At 42.9% G+C, this 17,814-nt stretch overlaps 1 protein-coding gene across 3 annotated transcripts in view; it reads right to left on the reverse strand.

The window, feature by feature from the left end:
* Positions 1 to 17,814, reverse strand: part of SLIT3 (slit guidance ligand 3) — a 639,400-nt gene that overhangs the window by 376,370 nt on the left and 245,216 nt on the right. The gene's annotated exons all lie outside the window — the stretch shown is intronic.

The raw sequence follows: 17,814 nt of genomic DNA on the forward strand, positions 1-17,814 counted from the left end.
AATGAACATGGACTAGGATGCCTTAGTAGTGTCAAATGACTATAAATGTGTCTAAATGCTTAATGTAAATTTCTTGTCATAGACCAGTAACACACAGTTTGCTAACTGGCACGGGTCTGTGGACCTCATTTGATTATCATTAAACCAGAACAACTAGAATGCCTGGTACAATAGGGAGCAAAGAATATCTTCTCAATATGGAACTGCTGATTGAATATGTGTATGAATTATAACATATATACACATATTACAATGTACACATATGGAATACATTCACACCAAATACTGGTATATGCACATACGTTCAATCAAATTATACTTTATACCATAACATATGTGTAAATAAGAAGATGGGGTTTACAAAAGGAAGACCTATACTTAGGTTTTTAAAAAAGTGCATTAGGTAACGAGTTGGCACCATGACGCTCTCTATGGAAAGGTATAGGTGGATGAGGAAGAATGACTGAGCAGTGCTTCTCCTGTGCTCCATGCTGTAATTCTCCAAGCTCTGTGTGGGACTGGTGTTCACACCCATATTTACCCAAGAGGCAGTGAAGCTCACTGAGGCTACGCGATTTGCCAAGGTCACGCTGCTATTTAGTGATGGAGATGGGATTCAGGTACAGGACTGTCCGGCTCCACAGCCTGCGTTCTATGGCACCACATTGTTCAGTGGTGTCACAGGGAGCTATGCTTTGTTCATATGACACACAGTACAAAGAGAATGGCTGTGTTCCTACCTCCACCTCCAAGCAAAGACCACCATAAAATAATCACAAGGGGCTGGCCTGGGTAGGTTTTGAGTGAGAAGAAGTCCAACTGATGAACTTCTAGGAAAAGTTTACTCCCTCCTAAGAAAAAAGCATGGAGAAAAGATGACCCCCTTCTTCTGCTGGGGATTGAAACATCGGGATAGGATGGCCAGGACATCCCTCAGTCATCTTTTTTTTTGATTATACTTTAAGTTTTAGGGTATGTGTGCACAACGTGCAGGTTAGTTACATATGTATACATGTGCCATATTGTAGACCCAGTTTGAGGATGGTGTTGCACACTGGGAAAGGCAGCACACCAAGATAACCACAAAGAAACAGAGGAAGTACATTACCCTGAGGGGGTACAGGCTTTGCATTTAAAGAGAGAGAAGGCTACTTTCAGGCTTCGGCATAACCAAACAGTGCTCCGTAAGAGTTAAGTTTTTTTTTGTGTTTTTTTTTTTTTTTTTGAGATGCAGTCTTGTTCTGTCGCCCAGGCTGGAGTGCAGTGGCGCCATCTCAGCTCACTGCAAGCTCCACTTCCCGGGTTCATGCCATTCTCCTGCCTCAGCCTCCTGAGTAGCTAGGACTATAGGCGCCTGCCACCACGTCTGGCTAATTTTTTGTATTTTTTAGTAGAGACGGGGTTTCACCATGTTAGCCGGGATGGTCTCAATCTCCTGACCTCGTGATCCACCTTCCTCAGCCTCCCAAAGTGCTGGGATTACAGGCTTGAGCCACTTCACCCGGCCAGGAGTTAAGTTCTTTGTCTTGAAATAGAAAAACAATATACCCTTTCCTTCCACCACCACTAATCAAAGTATCAGGATGGAGTCCCAACACTGACTTGACATATGACATGATGTCCCGTGTAATCAGGACATCTTACAGCTGGAGCAACCCCTATCAAACGACTCCTTATCACGTGATACAGTACAATGCCTTATTAAAACGAATTCAAACAGGGATTGTTCTGTTACTTGCAGCCAAAGGCACCCTACCTAATGCAAGCGCCTCAGGGCACAATACAATACTGAACTTCACTATCCCTTTTAACAAAAGCCAATGTTTGATTCACATTGTTGAGTCAGAATTTCAAAGGACCCTATCATTTAGTGTATAGCAGCAACCATATAGCAGCAACAAATATTTTTGAAATCATGATTTGAAATAAAATTTAGATGCCATGAGACCATTTAGATGAGATATAAACAGTTTAACTTGGAAATAAAAAAAGCCCTCACAACACGTAATCTAATTCCTATCGACCACATCCAGGGTTTCATTCAACTTTTGGGACAGAGTATATCAAGGCATGTGCAATCACAGCCCGTCAGCTCTGTTAGGAATTCCCTTGCTTCTTCCTGCATGTTTACACAACTTTAATACTTTTCTATATTGGCTCAATAAAGCATTTTTTCCTTTGAGATGGCATTGCTCATCTGTATTTATCCCACAGAGAGGAGGCTAAGTTATCTTAACAGTCCATTTTGGTAACTGTAAAGCTGACAAAATTGTGTATAAACAGCTCAAATATTTCTCAGGAAATAAAACTGGAAAGAAGAGCCCTTGCTTCAACCATTTAAGACAGTCTTGCATATTTAGAGATTAAGGATATGGTGTGGGTTTCTTCTTTCAGCTAAACCCTCATCCCCATCCTGCCCTTGACAACTTAATTTCCTCTCCTCTTTGGGAGACAGACGGATGAATATTTAGTGTAGAACATGATTGTGATTAAGCTTCCAAATGTATCTTCATCTGGATTCCAGCTGGTGTGGCATCTCAATTACTCCTCCATTCCCCTATGGAACTGTCTTACCGATGTAGTAAGCTTTGCGTGATGGCACTGGATTAAAAATCTCCTAGGACTCTCCAATCTTCTCACCTCAATCAATTATCCCTTTTCGAAAGGAAAAAAAGGTCTTGTGCATGTACATTATGACCTGAAGAATCCTACCAATAGGCATCGGCCCATTGCCGATTGGCTACCCATAAACAGCGGCAATCTTTCTTAGAGCTGGCTCATTTCTCCTACTCCCCACCTCTGCAAATGATGATTGATGCATTAATGTGAGACTGATAAACTCTGAAGAAGGGAGTGATTCATAGGTGTACTGTCAATACAATATGAAGAGAGTTGCAAAAATGTTCAGCTACCCACAATTTGTTTACTGGATGAATATTCCACATTTGTCACTGTTTCCATGATTCCTAGTATCATATGCCCAAACTCTGGTAGGTTTCAGAAGTACAATATCATTCAAATCAATTCTGATATCTGGAATATTCACCTAATATTTCTTCAGTAACACTTCTTTTGAGACGTGGCCCCAACTACTTCACATGGCTCTCTCACTCATTTGCTCAATCATTTATTCGACAAACATATACCGAGCACATAGGCTGTATGCTGAGCACTGGGGATAAAGATGTGAATGAGACACAGTCCTTGTTCTCGTGGATCTCAGTCTAGTGGAGGTGACAAACATGCACACAGGTAATCACAACAGAGTATGATGAGTGCCGGATGGAGCCGAGTACTGGATACCATGGGAGTACAGCAGAGTGGCATCTATCATGGATTTGATTTGAGAGGGAGACAGCAGGGAGGGCTGTTCAGAAGGCATTCAGAGTTTTTCCTCTTGTCCATTACATTTACAGCGCTCTCAGCACTTACACTAAAGCTTCCATAGAATAATTAGTCCTACAGTGCCTGTCCTTCCTTCTTTCCCCAATGCAGTTATATAAGTAAATGTCAGATATTCTTCAATTCTTATAATGAAATGTTGGGAAAGAAAGGCAGGCTTAAAGCTATTTTCTACTTTTTTTCTGCTACAAATATATATTATAGGAGTTTGAAGAACAGAAGCAATCTGGGTAGATTAGAATATTTGGGAGATGCTTCAGAAAATAAAGCAGCTGAGTTTACTCTCTAAGGCTAACAATGAAGTCAGTACTTTCCACTTCTGTTAGACAAGACCCTATTTCCAGCAATCAGACGCATGAAAGATAGTTCCTCTTAGGAACCCAAGTGGATAGGTATAGGGTGCCAAGATCCCTTCCTGGAAATGAATAGGAAAAAATAAGCTATTGATCTCTTCCCTCATTTAAATCTTGCAGTTCTAAAAAAGGCACTTCTCTGCAAGAGTGAAGTATACTTCTCCCACCTGTCTTCTTGGTTTGATGATTGCATGTATAGTGCTGTACACAGGGCATAGGCAAGGAAAATGGAAGATGAAGAATGGATATCGTAGAACGGTCCAGTTCATAAGGGCCTACTGGAGAATTCTCAGACTCTCCAGAATCACACTTCCAGACAGTGACAAACAGAGCCCCTCAATACCTTCATACAGAAACACTTTAATCACCCTACACATTAGAAAAAAGTCCTGAGAAACCAGAAGAGGCTGGAAAGGTAGCCTGGAGTTCCAAGATCTCATGAAAAATTAATTCAACCCTCAAAGTCAGCACCAGTAAGGACTGTTCTATATAACAAAAAGTCCTCAGTTGCATTATTTAAAAACTGCTTTGGACTGACCAACTAATTTCAAAGGCTTCACTCTTTGCATTAGATGTTATCAAAGACGGATGTGCTAAAAGGGTTCTTTCTATCAAATCCGGTGCCCCTCTGCTCTCCTAGGGTTATAATTGAGATCCTTATTACAGCGAGAGCACTTTTGCTTTCATTTTAACCTAAATGTTTTTGTGAGATTTCCCTTCAAAGCCTGATGAAGAATGAGATTAGTGAAATCAGCCCTGTTCTCCCAGGAGCCACTAGCTCCTTTGACTCAGAGACCTTGGAGCTCCCTTATATATTACAGTCACATCAAAGGGGCATTTTGTTGTTTGTTTGTTACACCAACATTGCCAACCCGAGAATCAAACTGTTTTTTAAGTAGAGGTAAGAGATGAGGGTGCTGGGCTTGGGATTCTGAACAGGTGTGTTCCATTTTAAGAAATCCTGTTATTCAAAAATGAGCTATAAAAACAAGAAAAACTGGAAACGATCTGTCCATTTACAAAAGAGGGCTTACTATCGGCTTCCTTAAAAATCAGCTCCCTAATCTAGTTAATGTTTCATTATCCATAAAACAAAAGGGTGTTTACTGGCAACATTTTTGAAATACATCCATTATTTATAGAATGAGACATCTTTTGTACTACTACTAATGGCTTCCTTTATTGAATGCCTCCTATTTATGTGACTGTCTCTGTACTGACACTTTATATAAGTAATCTCATTTACTTCTCAAAACAGCCCTGTAACCTACATATCAGAATCTCATTTTATACTAGAGAAAAAAAATGACTTGCCCGAGGTCATACAGCCAGCGCAGACCTGGAATTCAAAGCCAAAGTCAGTTTTGCTTTGCACTTCATTTAGGTCTTGTTAGTAATTAGATTCAATGGTCATACTCCAAAGCCTCATTAATTTGGGCTGGTTGAGACACATTATAGTTTAAATTTGCTAGAAAAGTTTGAATTACAACATATCCACAGATTACCCACAAGTACACATAATGAGTTGGTAGTTTCACTGTTTGATGCAGATCCTTCAGGACTTCCTTCAATGATAAGAATAATTATAAGTCTTAACCCCACTGTATAAAGGCAATAGAAACACCCAACTAAAATGCATGAAAATACTTTGTTCCCTTAAGTTGGTTAAGTATAACTTGATAACTTGCCTATCAAACTCTCTTTTGAAAACACTTTATATGAGCTATGTTCAAGGGATCACGAATTTTTGAGTAGCAGGCCTTGATGTGATTATGCTCTGATTTTAATTTCTTTCAAACAAGAGCTCTTTGTATATTTCATTAACCCCTTGGCTTAGCAATAAAGAGAAGCAAGAGACTGTGAGAGAAAGCAATGAGTTTCTCCATTCCCCACTCCAGTTGTCTGGGCAAGAAGAGTGGCTGATTTAAGAGGGAACAGCTATCTCTGCCTTACCAAAGGTAGGCCTTATAATTAGCAAACAGCAGTGAGAGTCATCCGAACTGGGAGCTCAAGATTGGGATGATGCAGACTCTGGTCAAGTCAACAGTAAGAATGACATAACTACGACAGAACATGTTAAAAACTGTTCATATCTTCCTTTCCATTTAGGAAATACTCTGGATCCCAGATCAGAGAAACTTATTCTGATAGGAGACTACCCTGAGTAGAGAGAAGTAGTAGATAAAGGCTAAAGTGGCCAAATCAATGCACAGAAGCAAGGGCACCACCTCACACCCACCAGGATGTCTATGCTAAAAATGAAAAGGACAATAACAAGTGTTGGCAAGGATGTGGACCAACTGAAACATGCATACATTGCTGGTATGAATATAAATGGCGTGGCCATTGTGGAAAACAGTTTGGCAGTTCCTCAGAAAGTTAAATATAGAATTACCATGTGACCCAGTAATCCTGCTCCTATGTATATACCTAATACAACTGAAAACATACATGCACACAGAAACTTGCATATCATTGTTCACAGCAGCATTATTCATGATAGCCAAAAGGTGGAACATGCAATGGAATATTATTCAGCCATAAAAAGAAATGAAGTATCGATACATGCTGCATTACAGATGAATCTTGAAAACATGCTAAATGATAGAAGTCAGACATAAAAGGCCACATACTGCAGGATTCCATTTTTATGAAATACCCAGAATAGGCAAATCCATAGAGACAAAAAGTAGATTAGTATTTGCTGGGGGCTGGAGGAAGGTGGGGGGGGGGATGGGGAGAAATTGTTAATGGGTACCAGATTTCTCTTTGGGGTGATGGGATGCTCTGGAATTAGACAGTGGTGATGGTCACACAACATAGTGCATAGACTAAAAAGCACTGAATGATATAATTTAAGATGGTGAATCTTATGTTAAACTATATCTCAAGAAAAAAAGAAGGAAAAAAGAAAGGGCCAGGGTTGCTAGAAAGAGAATGTCTCTAAACAGTGGGGCTTCCCCTTTTTAATTCAACTGGCCTGTAGACCCCAGCTCTGTTTCTGGGCCTGGAGAAGGATAGTGCTTATTGCTGCATTTTTTGATCATCAACAACAGTGTAAGCTTCCTTAGCTTCCCACTGCTCATACTTCTCTCTCTGAAGAAGCAGCCTTCTGTCCATCACGGGATGAGAAGAACTCCTCCATGGTTCACAGGTTTCTGCGAGATGAAGCAGCACCAGAGATGCGGGGTCATGCTAAGGTTTCATAGAAGAACTTCAAGTATTCAGCAGCAGTGGGGGATTGCACAGCTTAAAGGTTTTCAGACCACTTGTGACAGCAACAGAAGACGACAATGCATTCCTGTTGTGCCCTGCTATGTGAAGCAGACCTTAATTTGAGACAGGGATGGGGGTTGGGAGGGGTGACTCCTGTAGGCTGGAGCTGCTGGTGAGATGAAAACCCTAAACGTGCAACTTGGGCACAGCTTCACTTGCTACTTCCTCACTGCCCGGGCTTTCCCTCACACCTAGGAAAATCCTCTGAGTTGCTGCTTCAACAGACAGCAAAAAAGAACTTCTACTATTGTTACTTCAAAGACTTCTTCCAAGTGTAGTCCATGCAGGAAAAAAAAAAAAAAAAAGAACTGAGATGATGTAGTTTATTTCCTGGAAATATTAGTATTTCAAGACCTGGGTGCACCATCCACACTTTCCAGGGCATTGCCTGACACACGGTAGGTATTCAATAGATGATTTTTACTGAAAGAAGGAGTGAATGAATATGTGTATATGAGTATTTACTATGTGATAGGTGCTGTACTAAGTTTTTACATCATTATCACATTTTAAATGCACAGAGGTGTACAGTGACTTGCCCAAAGTCAAACAGCTTGTAAACTGCAGACCCAGGAGCCAAACCACAGCAAGCTCTTCCATCCTACAGGAAGCATTCTCTGCCTAATTAAGAAGAGTTTGTGGCCTACACTTCATGTTCCCATAGCACCTGGTGAGTCCTCCGATTTTACCATACACCGAGTCAGATTGTTAAGTTTGTGCTCACTTTTCATTCATTTCACCCACTACATTTAGTGAGCACTTAGACGCAGTAACTGACTGTGTTTTGTGCATTGCTATATCTCTAGGGATACAACAGGCACAGTTCTTAGTATAATATATCACTCACTACGGACATATTGAATTAATGATTGAATTTATCACTTGATGAATGGGAGTCACACAGACTGAACAGGGAAGCCAGAGTATGAGAAGGATTTGATGATGGACAAAGAAGTAGGAGACAGTGTATGGAGGGAGACCCCTTCCCTACCCCCCAAAAGGTGCCTTATTTTTGTGCTTTGGTATAGGTAAAGAGGTGGTATTGCCTAGAGGGACTGTAACTAGCCAGGAATCACAAAGCAAATTAGGGGGCAGTAGGGTCTGGCAGTGAAACATCTGTACAGCACATTGTGAGCACCAGATGAAAGGCATGCATAGAAAAGCAAAGATCGCAGCACTAGTTTTGCAGAAATGAAACATTCCTAAATTAACACAAGAAAGGAGGTGAGACTCCAGAATCAGATACACTGCAGAACATATAGATTCCCTTTGACATTGCTTTAAAAGCAAGTCAGTAGCTAAGTAAATAAGAATAAAATGCAAGAGAGAGAGCAACATTCTCTTTGGATATTTAAAATGTCTCCGGATCCATAATCCTATCCCTACACTTGGAGCAGATCAGAACTGAGAGGTAAACTGCACATTTAGGAAGGCACGAAGAAAGCCATGCAAGGGTTGAGAATCACTTTCTCCTTGCCTTGCACCAAAAACACATTCCTTTTGGGCGCTGGAGACTGCTCCGCAGAAAGCAACAGTGTCCCCCAGCCTACCATAAAGGGAGGCTTGCTCTTATCTCTCTATCTTCCTTCATTGCTGAGCATGTTCTTGAGAGTATTATGAGCCCCATGTGTGTAAAATTAAAATCAAAAGTGATTTCTTCTTAGAGATAATTCTTCTCCTCCCTTTTCTGCACCCTTCCCCAGCACCCCTCTGCTCCAGAGCCCTCTCTCCAGGCCTGTGCCCCTACTCAGCAGCTGGGTGCCTGTATCAGACTGCCAAAAACACCATTTGCTTTCTATATTCTAGGCGCTTGCTACAGGGTGTCTACTCTGGCCGCAGTAAAGACATACTAATTCTGACATTATTGTTACTGTCAAGTTCATGAATTTAAGGAGGATTCAAGTTCTATTCGTAGACTGGAGAAGCAAAACCAAAACCTAAAAAAACCCCACAACAATGCATAGCTGAAAAAACATACTTCCCCACCTGGATGTCCTGCAGACGCCCCCAACTCAACGGGCCCAAAAGTGCACTCACTGACTCCTCCCTGGTTAACCACCTTCTCGAGCCTCCTCTGGATCCTCCTGCAACCATCCTCCTTATCCTGGTGAACAATGTCCCTCATCTACCCTACCGCTTCAGCTAAAACCCTCATATTCATTTTCCCCTTGACCTCTTCTCCCGCTTTCAAATCTGTCTCCAAGCTCTGCTGATTTTACAGCTGAAATGCCTTTTGAATCTAACCATTCATCCCATCTCTGCTACCCGCTGTCCTAACACAGGCCCTTATTCCCATCTTTATTGGGGTCTCTGCCTTCAGTAGTCTCCAGAGGTCTTCACGGCAGACTGGAGGTTCCATCTGGAGACCTAGATGGAACCTACCCTTCCATCTGGAGACCTAGATGGAACCTACCCTTCCATCTGGAGACCTAGATGGAGCCTACCCTTCCATCTAGCCTTATGTCCATCATCTCCCATGATCACTCCTTCAGTCCAGCTGGGCTGACCAAACTCCCCCGACTACACTGTCACTCCCTGAATAGGTTATGTGCTTTCATTCTGGGGGCCTTCATATACAATGCTGTCTTTTTTCTTTTTTTGGCTGGGATACTTGTTCCCCTCACTTCCCCAGCTGCTCTTCCCGCTGTGCTCTGGCAGACCAGGATGTAGCTGTAGGTCTATGAGGGTCCTTAGCCCGTTTTCCTGAAAAGATGCATCGTCATATCCTCTTCTAGGTCCTGAGCAGCTCCAGAGCAGGAACTAGGTGACAGTCATCTCTGTCTCACAGCAACTTAGCATGGTGCCACAAGCATCGATTAGATGCTTGTGGAAGGAAGAAAGCAGGAGGAAGGAGGGGGAAAAAAAGAGAAAACCAAATGGAAGAAACTATGTCAAACTCTGCTCTGTCACTGCTCTCAAGATCCACTAATTGCCCCCAAACCTCAATTTCTTTCTTCTGATGCCCCTTGACTAAAATTCAAGCTAGAAAGGAGAAACTGATGAGGCTGAAAGCACAGGCTTAGCAGCAGACAAGCAAGGTTTGAAAACACACTCTCTGACGATGGGTGGTCTTGGATGGCTTCTTGAACCCCTCCAAGCCTCAGATTTCCTCATCCTTAAACGGAGAATCATAAGCTCATCTACATAGAGCTATAATATCTGACCAGTGGGATGAGGTGTAAAACATTCTCATAACAAACCAGGCATAACGGAAGCATTCCAGAAATGCTAACTTTTGTTATTGTTTCTTATTACCATTTTTATGACCTTTTACTGAATAGAGTCCTCAAGCTCTAAGATAATCTCTGCCCTGGTGAAGCTGGTAATTTGGTTAGGGTGACAGATCAGGTATGACAATAAAGAACATGGATTTCCTTAAACCAGCCACAACAGAAGTCAGGCATCACCGGCGGCGTAGCCATTCACACAGTAGTTACCTAGTTTGCCTTACAGACTTCTTCCAGTGTTGCTACCAAGTACTCAAAATAGCTTGTCCTTTTTGAGTATAAAAAGCAACATCATACCCAAGTCCCAGTACAGTAATACACATTAAATGCCACACAGCATTTTTGCCTCGGATAATAACAGCCGTATTAAGTTGTTACAGACATTGCCTCTATCTCATCTCTGGAGGTGGTATAGGATTCTTCTGGAACGAATCACAGTCTGGGAAAGCAAACCCAGACCCCTTGCCCCATTGGTTCAGCTGCTTGGAAAAATTCCCCACTTAATTAAGATACTCTTCTTGAAATATGGAGTTTCAGAGTAGGCTAAGCAATGACCAGGCCAGAGCTTTGGGAGAGGCCCTTAGAAGTTGAGAGTGACGCCACAACCAGCATAGTATTGGACATTCAGTGGATGACTGAAAATCCTGGTTGACTGAATGGAGAGAATAGTCGGGCAGTTTCTTCGAGAAAAGTCAATAGCCTGTGAGGGCGCCAGGGCTACGGCAGGCAGGGCCATTACCCATGTTAGTCAAGACCTATGTCACATGAGCTTTTTGGGGGCAAATACAAACGTGTAGAGTTGGAAAAAATTACACTGGCCCCAGTATACAAAAAGTATAAAGTTAAAATTACAAGAAACAAAATAATAATTGTTTCTATTTTTCTGTATGCTACATCTAATGTGTGATCTAAGTGTAATTCACTATGTTCGACGTGGTGGGGGAGGGGGTTCCTCCAAAATAAGAGGTCTCGGGGCTTTGACAGGTGCTAAGGTAACCAGAGGAAGTCAGCAGGAATCAACCTACATATTTACTGGAATTCGATGTTGCTTTGCTTAACTTTTGTTCTCTTAGGTTATGCCGTTAACGTCTCTCCTGCCCACCTTCCCCCAACACAGCAAAGCTACATAAACAAGAAAGACCAACCAGTGACAGCAGTGGAGAACTGGAAAGAATTATCTGAAATGTAGAGAGCGCTGTAATTTTTCAAATAGTCAGGAACAGAACATCAGAAATTCTCTAGTTTCTTTCCACGAAGTCCAGCCTAGGGCCCTAGACTCCCTGCAGGATGCCGGGCGGCTTCTAATTGTCTGAAGATCTATTGTAGCGGTAAGGACAAGTGACATTAAGATACATAAACTGGCATTTGGGGTTGACGAATGATAGGCAACACACTTAAATCTGCTAGACAGAAACCTAAACTCTAAAGTGGGCAGAAGAGAAACAAAATACAAGAGTTCTGTAGTTCCCAGGGTGGGTTTGTGGTATTGTTTTTATTTGCTGTTGTTGGCTCTATCTTGGCCAAGAAATGCCACTATAAGCATTTGATCTTTACTAGGGAGGTGCTGGCCTTGCAACATGAGACTTGGACACTGGTTTCTGGGTATAGTTGAGCCATCTATTTTTTTTCCTGGCTGCTTCCCCTCCTCCCCATTTCTCCTCTAAGTAAATGTGATGGCTCCAGAAAGAGAGATAAAAGAAGAGGTGTGTAGGAAGAGGGGTGCGTTTTCTACAGTCAGCAACAGAACAGAATAGACACATCCAGCAGGCCGTTTGCTGGGCCACACTGTCTGATGTTAAGGAGTCTCTTACTGTTCTTCCTACTTACTGCCCAAACCTAATTAAAGCAGAGTCACTCGACAGTTAGGAATGCAGCACTGTATCTCCTCATGCACAAATCCCCAAAGCCTGTGAGCTCTTTCTTGAGAGTGAACCTTGAGTTTTATTTGCCCATTATCAGTTATCCCCATCTTATTTGTCCAAAACAAAATCTCATCTCACTTCCTCTGATGTCACTTTACCCAGTCTATCCACCCATCCATCCCATAATTATCCTATCTGACCAGCTTACCCAGCACAAAGTTGGCCTCTGTTTCTTTGCCACGATTGGGTCTGTGCCCAGATAATTGGTTCATTCATCAAATATCTATTCAGTGTCCATGGTGTGCCAAGCCCTGAGCTAGGTTATTGGAATGTGGTGAGCAGCAAGACCAACGTTGTGTCTGCCCTTATGAAATTTATAGTCAAATAAAATGCCAATTAATGTTAGGATTTGTTTAACCACTGCCCCCTTTGAACTGGATACTACGCAGCCTATAATAGCACTTTTTTTTTTTTGGCGACCATATAACACTTCACGTTGAGCTTGCTGCCAACTGTAACGTGTAGATTTCCTTTCTGAAGAGGAAGAATACACATGGAAAGACGCCATAGGTATCACGGCGAGATCACATTCCACCCTTCCAGAAATTTCCATGTACCTGGCACACAATAGGCAGAAATATGTGTTGAATGAATTTGTTGGCACTATTTATGTTTCGCATTTAGATTCAGCAGCCTTCCAGCGCTCTGCTGTCTTATGGACCCTGGTTGGTTATCTGACATAACTTCTCTCTTACTGGCTTTTGTTTTATCTGAAAACGTCACTAGCAAACCATCAAGATCTGCATCTAAATCACTGCAAAACGGAGATGAAAAATTGAAGGTTGGCTGCACCAGGAAGTTCATGTCAACTTCTAAACTTGTTGTCAGAAGCAATAAAAGTAGACTTTGTGGGTCCTTCAGAACCGGAAAGGAAAAGGAAATCAAACATTCAAGGGATCAATTTAGATTCACGAAAAATAGGAAGGAAAGTGAAAGCCAACTGAATTAACTCTAGTTTGGTTCAAAAATACACTGCCATTTTTAAACATTTCTAGCCTTTTTTTTTTTCCCCTCTACAAGATACTGTGAGGCTGTATATAAAAGAGTAAATCAGAGCTGTGGGTGCTGAATCTTGATTCTCATATTTAAGTTTCCTCCTGCCCAGGAGTGACTCCAAGAAGGAAATGAATTCTCAGTGGGAGATGCTGTAGTTGATTAGCTTTTACCTTCCAGAGGAGATGTCAATCATGTTAATTGGAATCAATAGACAGCTGTTCAGGGGCCCAGGATAATTAACCAAGTCATAAAGGGTAGAATTAGAGTTCCCTTTAAAAATTAAAAGGGATCCCACTGTTTGCTAACATTTTAAGCCACTTTGGCTACCTAAGACCTATTCTGATTTAAACTCACTGATCACAGAGCAGCCAGCTTTTGTATGGGCAAAGAGTTATGCTCATCCTGTGGGAAAGTGGAAAATCCACCCTGCAGAAATGAGCTTTGAGTTTCCACTGCATTCCAAGGAGAGCCTAAATCTGTGGTTGTTAGGGCTTATGAGCCAGGTCGTTCTACAGCACTGGAGAGAGGGGGAGAGACAGAAAGAAAGGAAGAGAGTGAAAGAGGGAGAGGCAGAGAGAACACTAGCACTGTCGGCTCTCATCCATTTCAAGCTTGCACGCCTTGGTGTCCCCAAACCAACCTACAGAATCCATCATCTGCAACCCAGGTCTTCCCAGAGGGCAGCACAGAGAAAACTTCACAGGACCAGAAGGAAAGGCGATGTACTGAAGGCTAGTTACAATAACCGGACATCCCCAGCCCCCTTCAGAAAGATGCCCCCCTCCAGCCAGAGAACTTCTTCACAGAAATGCGTGTGCATTTTTATTTCCCCTTTAAAACTTGAAAGGGAGCTCATATACCCCCATCCCACATTTGGTTAAAGACAGAGAGGGCTCCTTCACCCACATGGAAACATGAAAAGAAAATGAAATTCTGTCCCAAGGCTTGTGATTTTTTTCTTTCTTTTCCTGAGTCAATGAATGCCAGATGTTCTCACAAAACATCTTCATATCTACAGGACGGCCTGTGAAAGTACTATTTATTATTGCTCAGAGGTCATGAGGCCACAACAGATTTATAAGAAGGCTGTGGTCACTCTCAGTGTCTCCTATAGTTAGGAGATATTTGTGGCAAGAGTCAGGGAGGGCTCTTCTTTCTACATAATTTACTTCCCCAGGGCCAATTAGCTGGGTCAGGTTAAGAGCAGAGGTGGTTTTCCCCCTCAGGCAACAGAAAGCTTGTTAAAGGCAGCGAGGCCACGTAAGACTTCCCAACTGTCAGAAGAACAGGAGGGAAGGAGAATGTCAAAAAGAATATGGAGTGTGAGCACCAGTAAGCCTGTCTGTCAACAATGTGTAACATGTGGTAGGTCACATCCTCTTTGGCCTTGTCCCTGACAATGTCTCAGTCCCAATAAGCTATCATTCTATTGCGGTCCTCTGAGGTTGAACTGGGTTTTAAGTGGTAGGAAGGTGGATTTCACTCCACGCTACCCAAGCTACCTCTCAGACCACTGCTGAAATACTGCATCATCACCTCTGTCTGGTGCCTGCAAATTCAATCGGCCTTTTCCTGGGGAGCACCCACCCTCCCTCACCCCACTCTGTTTCAAAGGATAGGCAGATGTTGCAGAGAACCACCGCCTCCAGGTAAACAGGCTGAAAGGCACCGATGCCCAAAGGAAAGTGGGCCACATTTGGTCTGGACATCAAAGAGGTTGAGCTATCGGCACCGGATGAACCACATCAGAACAAGACCTGGATTATGAGGGCCAAAGAAGAAGGTGTTATACCTGTAGGGTCTGCTGCTTCCTGCGCATGCTAATGCTCTTCTGAAATAAGCTCTGTAGCTACAGTTGGGAGTTGGATTCCCTTTTCTAAGGATTTCAAACCAAACAAGACACTATTGATTCCAACCTGGCTCCAGAATGAATGAAGGGTCAATAGATGAGGCTGGGAAAACAGGTTTCCTTTCCTTTCTTCCACAAGGAAAACTCTGATTGTGTCTGTGGCTCTAACTTTTAAGACATGAATTGAGTTCAGTAACTCAATTTTCATTTCTGCTTCTGGTCTAAACTTGGAGGAAGCTAACGTTCCCTCTTGCTTTGCTCATGCAGTTGCCTTTTTTTGTTTTGCCATTTCTTCCATTTCTTCCTCTCTAGGGGAGTTCTTTGGGCTACTAAGATTGCTTTGAATAATGTGCTAAGTATTTGTAGAAAAGAAACAGGGACCTTGGGTTCTGTCTTATATGATATAGTCTATATTTCAATGAATAGTTTCACCCTCCACCGGATTGCACAAACCGAAAATCTGGGAATCTTTCTAGATTACCCTCTCTCCTTTAAGCATTTACATCTGTTTAGTTTCCACCACTCACTGAATCCAACTCTATTCAACTCTGGAATTCCCCGCCCCCTTCTTTTCATTCACTCCCTGTTACAGGTGAATTATGTCCCCCCAAAAGATTATGTTGTGGCCCAAAGCCCTGGTTCCTGTGAATGTGACCTTATTTCAAAATAGGGAACAGGTGCAGTGGCTCATGCCTATAATCTCTGCACTTTGGGAGGCTGAGGTGGGCAGATCACCTCAGGTCAGGAGTTTTAGACCAGCCTGGCCAACATGGTGAAACCCCATCTCTACTAAAAAAAATACAAAAGTTAGCCAGGCCTGGTGGCGCACGCCTGTAATCCCAGCTACTCGGGAAGCTGAGGCAGGAGAATCTCTTGAACCCGGGAGGCAGAGGTTGCAGTGAGCCAACATCATGCCACTGCACTCCAGCCTGGTTGACAGAGTGAGACTCTCTCTCAAGAAAAGAAAAAAAAATAGGGTCTATGCAGATGAAGTCAAATTGAGGCTATTAGTGTGGGCCTTAATCCAACATGACTGGTGTTCCAATAAGAGGAGGAAAATGCCATATGAAGAGAGAGACACTAAAAAAAAAAAAAAAAAAAAGGTGGCAATGTGAAGATAGAAGCGGAGATTGGGATGATGCGGCCACAAACCAAAGAATACTGGGGGCGGGCTACCAGAAGCTGGGAGAGGCAAGGAAAGATCCTTCCCTAGAGGCTTTGGAGAGAGCCTGGCCCTGTCCACACCTGGATTTTGGACTTCTATCCTGCAGAACTGTGAGAGAATACATTTCCATTGCTTTTAACCACCCACTTTGTGGTGATTTGTTTCTGCAGCCCTAGGAAACTATTACACCCCTCTTGTCCAGGCAATTCAGGTCTCTGTCTCCTTTGTTTTCTCCTCCGATACATCCTCTCCCTCATGGCCAAAGTGATCTTCCCAAAACGCAACCCTAAGTCCCTCCCCTTCTTACGAGTTTATAATTATTTCAAAGTAAAGTCCAAGCTCCTTAATATTACAAAGGCCAGTCCCACTCCAACCCGTCTGCCTCTCCTACAGGGAATCCTTTACCCCAGGCATGCGGAACGACGTCTGCCAGCCTCTCTTGGGCTCTGAATATTTGCTTTTCCTACGCTTAGAATACTTCAAGCCCCTGTTTGCCTAACTCCTACACATCCTCCAAGGTACAGCTCAAGGTCTATCTCCTTCTGAAGGCCTCCCTGGAAACCCCTGGCCTAGGGGGTCCCATTATCTGAGTACACAATGCACACATTTGTTCTGGTTCTTCCCACATTGAACAGGTATCATGGACTTTTCCAGATCTTGAATTCTTGGTGGTCAGAGGCTGCTCTGTGGCCCTCATGCCTAGCATATGGGCTGGAAAATGGTAGGAAATTAGTAAATTCTTGTTAAACAGATGACTTTACAAAAACAAATGATTGGATCACTGGTAAACTTCAATATGGTTGTTGCTCAACTGGTAAAGGAGACCATCAGTTTTGGGGAAGAAAGGAGTAGCCCAGTCAATAAACAAGTTTCATGAGGATGCCAGCCATGAGACAAGTGACCCTCTAGGTACCATTGATATAGCTGTGAATAAGACCAAGTCCCTGCTTTCTGGAACTTTCTATTGTAGATTAGAAAGATGGATAGTAATCATGTAAATATTTTAGGAGTTACGCGGTAATAGAAACAAAACACAGTAATACAACAGAGAATGACTGGTTAGGAAAGGCCTCTCTGGGAGGTGACATTTGAGATTAGAGTTGAATGATGTGCAAAGTTGAAAGCGGGACACTCAGGCCAAGCTTGAGCAAAGGGCCGGAGGCAGGGACATCTTGACCTATTCAAGTAACAGCAAAAAGGCCAGGAAGAGGTCAAGGCTTAGGGAGAGAGTTGGGCAAAGGTATGAAAGAAGTTGGAGAAGGTCGGGCGCAGTGGCTCACGCCTGTAATCCCAGCACTTTGGGAGGCCAAGGCGGGTGGATCATAGGTCAAGAGATCGAGACCATCCTGGCCAACATGGTGAAACCCCATCTCTACTAAAAATACAAAAATTAGCTGGGTGTGGTAGCTGTAGTGCCAGCTACTCGGGAGGCTGAGGCAGAGAATGGTTTGAACCCGGGAGGCGGTGGTTGCAGTGAGCCAAGATTGCACCACTGCACTCCAGCCTGGCGACAGAGTGAAACTCTGTCTCGGAGGAAAAAAAAAAAAGAAAAAAGAAAAAGAAGGAAGTTGGAGAAGTAGACAGTGTTCAAAACAGGGAGGGCTGTGTTGGCCATCATACGAAA

This window comes from Homo sapiens, chromosome 5 (genome assembly GCF_000001405.40).
Source record: "Homo sapiens chromosome 5, GRCh38.p14 Primary Assembly".
In the NCBI taxonomy this organism is placed as follows: Eukaryota; Metazoa; Chordata; class Mammalia; order Primates; family Hominidae; genus Homo; species Homo sapiens.